This window comes from Homo sapiens, chromosome 22 (assembly GCF_000001405.40).
Source record: "Homo sapiens chromosome 22, GRCh38.p14 Primary Assembly".
Classification (NCBI taxonomy): Eukaryota; Metazoa; Chordata; class Mammalia; order Primates; family Hominidae; genus Homo; species Homo sapiens.
Genome location: NC_000022.11, coordinates 11260029 through 11272515, shown reverse-complemented (window position 1 = coordinate 11272515; position 12487 = coordinate 11260029).

Here is a 12487-nt window from a genome sequence, read left to right as displayed (position 1 = left end):
CCTTTTTTCTTTTCTTTTCTTTTTTTTTTTCTTTTCTTTCTTTTCTTTTCTTTCTTCCTCCTCCTCCTTCTTTTTTTCATTGTTTTCAGCTGGGCTCTCCTACTTGTGTTGCTCAGTTGCTCGGGCTTGTCTCAAACTCCTGGCCTTGACACTTCTCCCGTCACATCCACGGTCTAGTTGTTGAAATGAGCATCTCTTGTAAAATTGAAAAGATGAAAAAAATAAAGAGAAAGACAAAAAGCACGGGGTGAACGTTTCTCTTGCCGCCTCCCAGGGTGTACCTTGGACCCCATAGGAGGGAGGGAGCTTGGCTGGGTGGGTTTTCGGTGCTAAATCCTCCTGAGGGCCTCCTTCCCTCTCCCCCTTGTCCCCGCTTCTCCCCCAGCCAAGGCTCCCACTGCCGCGATGGGATTTTCCATGGGAGAGGTATGGGAGAGGACTGACGCGGCTTCCAGATCTATATCCTGCCAGACGTCTCTGGCTCAGCGTCCCCCACCAGCTGCCTGCCACCTTCCAGGGAGCTCTGAGGCCGATGCCCCGCCCCGCTTCACATCCCGCCACCCTCCTCCAGCTGGCCTTTGCCCGGCGACCCCAAGGGAACGACGTTAATGCTGCTTTCGAATCCTCCAGCGAAGACTTCCACCAGATGCCCCGGGTGGGCCGGATGGGATGGACTGGATCACCCCGGACCATGCTGTTCTTGGGGGTGGGTTGACGTACAGGGTGGACTGGCAGCCCCAGCATTGTAAAGGGTGTGCAGGTATGGAAATGTCACATAGGATGCCCTCCTTTCCCTCAGCCTGCCTTCAGCTTCCTCAGGCATGAAGACAACTTCCCATCAGAACCTCTTTTCTTCCCTTTCTCCACCACACAGATGAGACCCATGAGAGGGAGAAACAGCTCAATAGATACTGCTGACCTTCATTTGTGGAATCCTCAGTCATCTACAGACAGAGAGGTGAGTAGACAGGGACCCAAATCAAACACCATTTCCGGGTCCTCATGGTGGGATTCGTCTCTCTCTCTCTCTCTCTCACACACACACACACACACACACACACACACACACAATTTCCACATCTAGTTCACAAACCACACTAATTTACACTTTTCACAGTACGCAGTCTGAGTAAAACCCACCCCACCCTCCACCCAGCTGCTGACGAAACCCCTTCTTTACAATTTATTAAAAAGATTATCTGGGCCGGGCACAGTGGCTCACGGCTGTCATTCCAGCACTTTGGGAGGCCAAGGTGGGTGGATCACTTGAGGCCAGGAGTTCAAGACCTGACTGGCCAACATGGTGAAACCCCATCTCTATGAAAAATAGAACAATTAGCCAGGAACTGGTGGCATAGGTTTGTAATCACAACTACTCAGAAGACAGAGGCGGGCGAGTTGCTTGAACCAGGGAGGCCGAGGTTGCAGTGAGCTGAGATCGTGCCATGGCAATTATTGAGATAAAGTGAGACTCTGTCTCAATAATAATCATAATATTGTTATAAGATGTGTTGTGCGTGCTGATACCCACCTGTAGTCGCAGCTACTCAGGAGGCTGAGACAAGGAGAAGATCACTTGAGGCCCCACAGGTCGAGGTTTCAGTCAGCTGTATCCTGGGTAGTCACTAGTCAAAGAGATATGCCCCTCCCCGTTTTCTTTTCTTTTCTTTTCTTCTTTTCTCTCTTCTTTTTTCTTCTCTCTTCTTCCTTCCTTTCTTTCTTCTTTCTTTCTCTCACTCTCTTTCTTTCTTTCTCTCTTTCTTTCTTTCTCTTCTTTCTTTCTTTCCCTTTCTTTCTTTCTTTCTTTATTTTTTTCTTTCTTTCCTGCCTGACTGACTTCCTGCCTTTCTTATTTTCTCCCTTCCTCTCTTCCTCCCTTCCTTCTTTCCTCCCGCCTCGGCCTCCCAAAGTGCTGGGATTACTGGCGTGAGGCACCACGCCTGCTTGGCCTAAAGAGAGACCCTTTGAAAGTAAGACACATACAGCGCCTTCTAGTGATCTGATTGATTGATTGACTGATTTAGAGACAGCGTCTCGCTCTGTCACCCTGGCAGTGGTGCCATCATAACTCACTCACTGCAGTGTGGAAGCTCCTGGACTCAAGTGATCCTTCCACCTCAGCCTCCAGAGTAGAGTACCTGGGACCACAGGCATGTGCCACTGTGCCCAGATCATTTTTATGTATTTATTTATTTATTTTCCCGAGACAGAGTTTCGTTCTTGTTGCCCAGACTGGAGTGCAATGGCGCGATCTTGGCCCACTGCAGCCTCTGCCTCCTGGGTTCAAGCGATTCTCCTGCGTCAGCCTCCCGAGTAGCTGGGTTTGCAGGCATGCGCCACCACATCTGGCTGATTTTGTATTGTTAGTAGAGACGGGGCTTCTCCATGTTGGTCAGGCTGGTCTCGAACTCCCGACCTCAGGTGATCTGCTCTCCTCGGCCTCCCAAAGTGCCAGGATGGCAGACGTGAGCCACTGCTCCTGGCCTTCATTTTTAAATGTTTTTCCACAGACAGGGTCTCATCATTTTGTTGCAACCCTCCTGACCCGGCGTCTCAAAGTGCTGGCGTGAAGGGCGTGAGCCACTGCGCCTGGACTCCGGGGAATGATTCACGAACATGACCGCTGTACTAATTCTTTCTTTCTTCTTTCTTTCTTTCTTTCTTTCTTTCTTTCATTGATGAATTTTTTTATTATTGATTGATTGATTGATTGATTGATTTTGAGACGGAGTCTCGCTCTGGTCGAGGCAAGGCGAGGGGAGGCGAGGCGAGGTGAGGCGAGGCGAGGTGAGGCTAGGCGAGGTGCATCACTTTGGAAGCCGCAGCGCGGCCTTCTAAAGCCCCATTCAAATGCACAAAGCCCTATTTCCTTCCTGGAGTTGGAGCTGATGCTTTCCATCGCCTTGGGCTTCTCTCCATTCAGAAGTTTTACAGGCGCAACCCCACCCAGAGGCTGGCTGCGGCTGAGGATTAGGGGGTGTGGGTGGGGCTGGAAACTCGGTCCCCTATTGTTGAAAGCTCAGCCAAGACATCCCCCGACCCCCATCGCTTGCTCACCCTTTGAGATCCCCTGACTCCATCGCCTTGGAGGCTGACCTCTTACTTTAATTTGTCTTTCTTCCTTTCCTGCGTTTGAGGAGGGGATGCAGGAATGAGGGTGTGTGCGGGGAGGTGGTGTGGGGTGGGGACGGAGGGGAGCGTCCTAAGGGTCGATTTAGTGTCATGCCTCTTTCACCGCCACCGCCGAAGATGAAAGCAACAATCAGCTAAATACCACGTGTTCTCATCCATAAGTGGGAACTTATAGATGAGAGTTCTGCGTGGGCAGAACGAGGAGGACCAGAGAAGCGGGAGCCTACTTGAGGGAGGAGGGGTGGAAGGAAAGACAGCTTCAGGAAAAAACAAAACACAACAAAACATGAAAACTGTCGAGTACTGCGCTGAGTATCCGGCTGATGAAATCATCTGCACACTGAAACCCCCCCGTCAGAAGTTTACCTATGTAACAATCTTGCACATGTATGTTTGAACAAGAAATGAAAGTTAGGGGAGAAAGAGAGAGAGAGGGAAAGAGAGAGAGAGAGGGAAAGAGAGAGAGGGAAAGAGAGAGAGAGAGAGAGAAGTGAAAGGAAACAGCACCTCCTGGACCTGAGTCAGGGGGTTTCCGGCCTTTTGGGGGAACATTCAGCTACAATGCAGTATTTGGGCCTGTTCTTTTTTTTTTTTTTCTTCTTTTCTTTTTTTTGGACTGAGTCTCTCTCGCTCTGTCACCCAGGCTGCGGTGAAGTGGCGCTCTCTCGGCTCACTGAAACCTCTGCTTCCCGGGTTCCAGTGATTCTTCTTCGGTAGCTGGGATTACAGGCGTGCACAACGACAGCCGGCTAATATTTCTATTTTTAGTAGAGACGGGGTTGCTCCATGTTGGCCACGTTGGTATTGAACTCCTGACCTCAAGTGATCCACCTTCCTGGGCCTCCCAAAGTGCTGGGATGACAGGCCTGAGCCGCCGGGATTTCAGCCTTTAAAAGCACGAGCCATGACACTTTTCGCTGCGGCCCTTACACTCAGAATGATGTGTCGTCTCTGCCATAGGTTAACTCCTTGAGTCCCCTATGCCATTGTACTCTAGCCTGGGCAGCAAGAGCGAAACTCCGTCCCCCCACCTTCCCGTGCAAATAGATAAATAAATAATAAATAAATAAACAAACAAACAAATAAATAAATAAAATCTCTACACATGACCTATAAGTGTGCATTCCCATGAGTGATTTCTAAGAAATGGCACTGTACACTGAACGCAGTGGCCCACGTTTGTCATTCCAGCACTTTGGGAGGCCGAGGTGGGTGGTTCACGAAGTCAGGAGTTCAAGACCAGCCTAGCCAACATGGTGAAACCCCGTCTCTACTGAAAATACGAAACTGAGTCGGGTGCAGTGGGGCAGGCACCTGTAATCCCAGCTACTCGGGAGGTTGAGGCGGGAGAATCGCTTGAACCTCGCAGGCGGAGGTTTCAGTGACCCAGGATGGCGCCACTGCACTACAGCCTGGGCGACAGAGTGAGACTTGGTCTCCAAATAAATAAATAAATAAATGAAAGAAAGAAAAGAAAAGAAAAAAGAAAAGAAAACCAGAAAAGAAAGAAAATGAAAGAAAAGTCGCTGTATCGCTACTGGGCTAGGACCTTCCCTCTTTCTGTCTGTTTCTCTTTGTCTCTCTCTGTCCATCTCTGTCTTTCTCTATCTGTCTCTTTCTCTGTCTGTCTGTCTGTCTGTCTCTTTCTTTCTCTCTGTCTCTGTCTCTCTCTCTCTGTCTGTCTCACAGTGTCTGTCTTCTCTCTTTCTCTGCCTGTCTGTCTCTCTCTCTCCCTCCCTCTCTGTTTCTGTCTCTCTCTGTGTCTCTCTCTTTCTGTCTGTTTCTCTCTGTCTCTCTCTGTCTGTCTCTGTTTTTCTCTGTCTCTGTCTGTCTCTGTTTTTCTCTGTCTCTCTGCCTGTCTCTGTATTTCTTTTTCTGAGTCTCTCTGTCTGTCTCTCTCACTCTCTCTCTCTGTCTGTCTCTCTGTGCCTATCTTCTGTCTTATTCTCTTTCTCTACCCATCTGTCTCTCTCTCTGTCTGTCCCTCTCCCTCCCTTTCTGTCTCTCTCTCTCTCTCATTCTCTCTCTGTCTCTCTCTCTTTCTGTTTGTTTCTCTCTGTCTCTCTCTCCATCTCTGTCTGTCTCTCTCTTTCTCTCTGTCTCTGTCCGTCTCTCTCTGCCTGTCTCTCTCACTGTGTCTGTCTTCTGTCTTATTCTCTTCCTCTGCCTGTCTCTCTCTCCCTCCCTGCCTTTCTGTTTCTCTCTCTCTCTGTCTCTCTCTCTGTCTGTTTCTCTCTGTCTGTCTCTGTCTGTCTCCTCCTCTGTCTGTCTGTCTCTCTCTTTCTTTTTTTTTTTCAAGATGGAGTCTCACTGTGTCACCCAGGCTGGAGTGCAGTGGTGCCATCTTGGCTCACTGCAAGCTTCACCACCGAGGTTCACGCCATTCTCCTGCCTCAGCCTCCTGAGTAGCTGGGACTATAGGCGCCCGCCACCAAACCCGGCTAATTTTTTGTATTTTTAGTACAGACGGGATTTCACCGTGTTAACCAGGATGGTCTTGATCTCCTGACCTCGTGATCCGCCCGCCTTGGCCTCCCAAAGTGCTGGGATGGCAGGAGTGAGCCACTGTGCCTGGACTGTCTCTCTCTTTCTTTCTCTCTCTTTCTCTCTCTCTCTTTCTCTCTCTCTCTGTGCCTATCTTCTGTCTTACTCTCTTTCTCTGCCTCTCTGTCTGTCTCTCTCTCTCTGTCTCTCTCTCTCCCTGTCTGTTTCTCTCCCTCTGTCTCTCTCTCTCTCTTGCTGTTTCTCTCTGTCTGTCTCTGTCTGTCTCTTTCTCTGTCTGTCTCTCTCTTTCTCTCTGTCTCTGTCTCTGTCTCTATCTGCCTGTTTCTCTCACTGTGTCTGTCTTCTGTCTTACTCTCCTTCTCTGCCTGTCTGTTTGTCTCTCTCTCCCCCTCTCTTTGTTTCTCTCTCCCTCTCTATCTCTCACTCTCTCCATCTCTCTCTCTGTCTGTTTCTCTCTGTCTGTCTCCGTCTTTCTCTGTCTCTCTGTCTGTCTGTCTCTCTCTCTCTGTCTCTCTCCCTCCCTGTCTGTCTGTTTCTCTCTCTTTCTCTGTCTCTGTCTCTCTCTTTCTGTTTCTCTCTGTCCATCTCTGTCTCTCTTTCTTTCTCTGTCTCTCTCTTTCTCTGCCTGTCTCTCTCACTGTGTCTGTCTTCTGTCTTACTCTCTTTCTCTGCCTGTCTGTCTGTCTCTCTCTCTCCCTCCCTTTCTCTCTCTCTCCATCTCTCTCTCTTTCTGTTTCTCTCTGTCTCTCTCTGTCTGTCTCTGTGTGTCTGTCTGTTTCTCTCTCTGTCTCTCTCTCTCTTTCTGTTTGTTTCTCCCTATCTGTCTCTCTCTCTCTCTGTCTCTCTCCCTGCCTGTCTGTCTGTTTCTCTCTGTCTCTCTCTGTCCATCTCTGTCTTTCTATGTCTGTCTCTTTCTCTGTCAGTCTGTCAGAGCCCCTTTGCCGGGGAGGGCCCTGCCCCTTCCACGAAAGTGAGAAGCGCCTGCTTAGAGAGGCCGAGAGGAATCTAGACAGACGGGCCTTGCTAGGCTTCGCCACTCGGTGTATGATTTCGGGAGGTCAAGGCCGGGTCCCCACTTGGATGGAAGGGGCATTTTCAAACGTTTCTCTCTGTCACGTGTGGCGTCCCTACTTCTCGTATTTCCCTGATAAGCTCCTCGACTTAAAAATACATGGTTAAGGCCGGGCGCGGTGGCTCACGTCTGTCATCCCAGCAGTTTGGGAGGCCGAGACGGGTGGATCACCTGAGGTTGGGAGTTTGAGACCAGCCTTGCCAACACTGCGAAAACGCATCTCTACTAAAAATACTAAATTGAGTCGGGCGCGGTGGGGCAGGCGCCTGTAATGCCAGCTACTCGGGAGGCTGAGGCAGGAGAATCGCTTGAACCTGGGTGGCGGAGCATGCAGGGAGCCGAGATCGCGCCACTGCACTACAGCCTGGGCTGTAGATTGAGTGAGACTCTGTCTCTAAATAAATAAATAAATAAATAAATAAATGCATTCTTTTCCCTGCTGACTGACACTTGCAGGCATCGGTTGTCTTTGGGCATCACCTAGCAGCCACTGTTATTGAAAGTCGAGGTGACACGGGGAGAGGTCTGGCCGACTTCACCGAACCTGGGGCAACCGGTTTCTGTCTCTCCCTTCTGGAGACCCCTCCCTCTCTCCCTCGTTGCCTAGGGAACCTCCGCCCTGCAGGGGGCCCTATTGTTCTTTGATCAGCGCTTTAGTTTTCTTTCTGTTTTGGTTTCTTTCATGCGCATAGACTCTTCTACTTGGGTTTTAGGAGGGGTCAGTTTAATTTTCAAGTCCCGCCCCGGCTCCCCCCACTACCCACGTCCCTTTACCTTCATTTAGTGAGTCAGTTAGGTGGGTTCCACCCAAACTCCCCACCCCCCGCCTCCCAACACCCTGCTTGGAAACCTTCCGGAGCCACCCCGGTGTGCCTCCGTCTTCTCTCCCCTTCCCCCACCCCTTGCCGGCGATCTCATTCTTGCCAGGCTGACATTTGCATCGGTGGGCTTCAGGCCTCACTCAGTGGCCACCGTTTTTGAAGATGGGGGTGGCCCGGTCCCACTTCCCCAGAGGCAGCTTGGGCCGATGGCATAGCCCTTGACCCGCCTGGGTAAGCGGGCGTGTCTTCAGTTGTGGGTTTTTTCCCATGCTTCCCTCTTCAGGCCTCCCTCCCTAGGAAAGCTTCACCCTGGCTGGGTCTCTATCACCTTTTATCATGATGTTTTAGTTTCTCCGCCCTCGGGCCAGCATAGTTTCACAGTGGGAATGACGTCACAGCTCTAGTCTGGGCCTTATTAGTATTTGCCCAAAATAGAAATGCTTTCTGAAAACTAATACTTTGCTCACTTAAGATTTCCAGGGACAGTGCCTTGGCCTGTGTTTGTTGGCTTGTTTTGTTTTGTTCGTGTTTTTCGTTTTTCTTATGTATTTCTTTTTAGATGAAATAGAAATCCCCAGTTTTCAGGAAGACGTATATTTTCCCCAAGACATGTTAGCTGCGGTTTTCACCTGTTGTTAACTAACGATTTTGTGAATCTCTGAACGTATAGTGAGAGCCGGTTGATGTTTACTAGACTTCAGAACATCTTATGTTCTAGAAATCCGTAAGCGATTGCTGCTGCTGCTCTTGCTGCTGCTGCTGCTCTTGCTGCTGTTGTTGTTGTTGTTTTCAAAGCACACCCCGGCCACCGTTTATGGGATCAAAAGCCTTATAAAATATGTGTAATTATTTCCTGAGCATGCCCTTCCTCCTCCTCTCTCTGTCTCTCTCTCTTTATCCGTTTTCTCTCTTTCTCTGTCTCTCTCTCTTTGCCTGTCTATTTCTCTCTCTCTGTCTCTCTGCCTGCCTCTCTCACTGTGTCTGTCTTCTCTCTTACTCCCTTTCTCTGTCTGTCTGTCTCTCTCTCTCTCCCTGTCTGTTTCTCTCTGTCTCTGTCTCTTTCTCTGTCTCTTTTTCTGTTTCTCTCTGTCCATCTCTGTCTTTCTCTGTCTGTCTCTCTGTCTGTCTCTCTCTTTCTTTCTCTGTCTCTCTGTCTCTGTGTGTCTCTCTCTCTGCCTGTCTCTCTCACTGTGTCTGTCTTCTGTCTTACTCTTTCTCTGCCGGTCTGTCTCTCTCTCTCTTTCTCTCTCTCTCTGTCTCTCTCTATTTGTTTCTCTCTGTCTCTCTCTGTCCGTCTCTGTCTTTCTCTGTCTGTCTCTTTGTCTGTCTGTCTCCCTCTTTCTCTGTCTCGCTGTCTCTGTCTCTCTCTCTGCCTGTCTGTCTGCCTGTAGGTCTCTCTCTCTTTCCCTGTCTGTCTGTTTTTTTCTCTCTCTCTCTTTGCCTGTCTGTTTCTCTGTCTCTGTCTCTCTGTCTGTCACTCTCCGCCTGTCTCTCTCTGTGTCTGTCTTCTGTCTTACTGTCTTTCTCTGCCTGTCTGTCTGTCTCTCTCTCTCCTTGCCTGTTTCTCTCTCTCTCTGTCTCTGTTTCTCTCTGTCTCCCTCTGTCTGTCTCTGTCTTTCTCTCTCTGTCTCTTTCTCTCTGTCTGTCTCTCTCTTTCTTTCTCTTTGTCTGTCCATCTGTCTCTGTCTCTGTGTGTGTGTGTGTTTCTGCCTTCTGTCTTACTCTCTTTCTCTGACTGTCTGCCTGCCTGTCTGTCTGTCTCTCTCTCTTTCTGTCTCTGTCTCTTTCTGTTTCTCTCTGTCTCTGTCCATCTCTGTCTTTCTCTGTCTGTGTCTTTATCTGTCTGTCTCTCTCTTTCTGTCTTTCTCTCTTTGTGTATCTTTGTGTCTCTCTGTCTGTCTCTCTCTGTCTCTGTCTTTCTCTCTCTCTCTCTCTCTCTCTCTCTCTCTCTCGCCCGCTCTCTGGCTCTCGCTATCTCCCGCCCTCTCTTTCTTTGCAAAATATGTTCAAGTACATCTAATCTAGTCCATTACCACGACCTGAATTCTTAACTTTAGACATCCCAGATTTGATCTCCCTACAGAGTGCTGTACAGAACTGGCGAGTTGATTTCTGGACTTGGATACCTCATAGATACTACATATTAATAAAGATCCAACCATAAAATCTGGCGTTGCGTCTCCCTCGACTGTCTCAAAAAATCATACCTCTGTTCACCTAGGATACTGGGAGGGTTTTCTTAATGTGCATCTGCTCGTGTTCTACATGAACTGTGACCGAGCCCTGTCCGTTTTGTCTCAAATATGTATCTGCAAACACGTCTCTCCATTTCCACAACTACCCATGGCCCCTTGTGGAACCACTGGCTCTTTGAAAAAAAAATCCCAGAAGTGGCTTTGACTTTTTGTCTAGGAGGCCTAAACCTGCTGAGAACTTTCCTGCCCAGGATTCTGTGTGAACAAAAGTGCCTCTGCTGGGAGCTGGGATCCTCGGGACCATGCTTGCTATCGTTGGATGAGTCTCTGGAAGGACGCATGGGACTCTGCAAAGCTGACCTGTCCCACCGAGGTCAAATGGATACCTCTGCATTGGCCCGAGGCCTCCAACTTACATCACCGTCACCAACCGTCACCGTCAGCATCCTTGTGAGCCTGCCCAAGGCCCCGACTCCAGGGAGACTCTTGGGAGCCCGGCCTTCGTAGGCTAAAGTAGAAAGGGATTGCGACTTCCACCCACAAGGTCCCCACTGAACTGCGAAGATGTGGAGCATAGGTCAGAGAGGGGACCAGGAGGTGAGATGTCCTGACAGGCGATGAGTTAACTAGGCTCTGGCCACCCCACTCACGTCCCACGTCCCTGGAACCCTCGGAACACTGCCGCTTTATCCCCTCCTCTGTCTAGAGCCGCTCCCACCCCACCCCGCAACCCACGCATACACACTGGAGGTTACAAAACCACAGGGCGTGAATAGAGCCTGACGGAGCAAGAGCTCTTTTCATGAGGCGGGGTGGGTGGGGTGGGGTGAGGGTTGGGGTGTCTGTAGAGAGCCCGATTCTCCCTCGTGGGTGGCTACAGGACACAAATGAATATCGCTTCTTGGGCGGAGGGGCTTCCTTAGGCCGTCACGTTTGCGGGACTATCTCTCAAACCCTTCCTTGAGGCCACAAAATAGATTCCACCCCACCCCTCGACGTTTGCCTGGGTGCTGGATGTATCCTGTCAAGAGACCTGAGCCTGACACGTTGAGTGAAATACCTTTATTGGCTTTGTGTGTTTGTTTGTTTCTGAGATGGAGTCTTGCTCTGTCCCCCACGGCTGGAGTACAGTGGCGTGATCTCAACTCACTGCAACCTCTGCCTCCTGGGTTCGAGTGATTCTCCTGCCTCAGTGCCACCAAGCCAGGCTCATTTTTAAATTTTTAGTACACACGGGGTTTGACCCTGTTTCATTGGTTTTCACTGGAGATTCCAGATTCGAGTCACACCTCATTGTGTGCCACATAATGACTTCTTTTTTTTTCTTTCTTATTTTTTTTAAAGCTCAATATATCTGCTTTATTTGAGTGGCTTTATATATGGTTATAATTGTGTTATAGATGAAGAAAAGGTATTAAACACGGTGCTAATGATAGTGAAAGTGAAAACAAAAGAAAGGCTATCTATTTTGTAGTTAGAATAAAGTTGCTCAGTATTTAGAGTTACCTAAATATGTCAGCATTTAAACTCCTCCTAGTAAAAGTTGGCCAATCTGAATAATCCTCCTTTAAACACAATTTTTGATATGGTTAAGGTTTTTAAGAATGCGACTCCTGCAGAATAGCTGAACAGACAATACACTTTTAAAAAAGAACAACACACGGTTCAACCAGACTTGGGAAAAAAGCAAAAACAACACAAGTCTTATGAAGAACTGAGTTCTTAAAGTATTATGGAGAACATAGCTATCGGAAGAGAAGGCAGTCTTGGTAAGTTGATTGTTACATTTGTCAGCAAAACTAGCACTATTTTTTTGGCAATCTTTCAGACACTGCAACTACTACCGCAAAATGAGATATAATCCATTAAACAATATAGTCACAAATCAAAAAATGTTTTAGTAATGTAATGCTTCAGATTTAGAAGCAAATCAAGTGTTAAAACTCGACTGCTATAAAAATTACCCCCAAAGATAATCGTATTTGACAAAAAAGCTTCCACAGAGTTATGACTTCAGAATTATACTTTCTCTTGATATTTATTTATTAATTTATTTATTTTATTTTATTTTTTTCTTGAGACGGCGTTTTGCTCTGTCACACAGGCTGGAGTGCAATGGCTTAATCTTGGCTCACTGCAACCTCCACTTCCCGGGTTCAAGCGATCCTCCTGCCTCAGCCTCCTGAGTAGGTGGGACTACATGTGCCCGCCACCATGCCCAGCTAATTTTTATACTTTTAATAGAGACGGGGTTTCACCATGTTGGACAGGATGGTCTCGATCTCTTGACCTCGTGATCCGCCCGACTTGACCTCCCAAAGTGCTAGGATGACAGGCATGAGCCACCTTGCCTGGCCTTCTCTTGATATTTAAACTTTTAAGTCAGTCCAGAAAAATACAATAAATGTCAACAGTAATTATGGTGTTGAGGCAGATGTAGGACCAAACTTTTTCGTATGTTATTCAGTTGATAACAATATGACCTGGATAGTAATTTCCTATGTATCTACTTATACAGAAGTAAAAAAAGGAAAACAGAGATACTGCTAAATAAAAGGGTATACTAAGTTCTTAATAGTAACTCAATAAACTGGAACACTTTCAAAAAGCAACAACTAGTGAATTTTTTCAGTGTTTTTTTCTATTATCCAATAAGTGAATTATGCTATTCCTTTCCAATTTCCCAAGCACTTTTTGTCCCAATCACCATTTCTCTGTTCGAAGAAAAAGTAACAAATCAAGTAACAAAACTAAACAAGCAT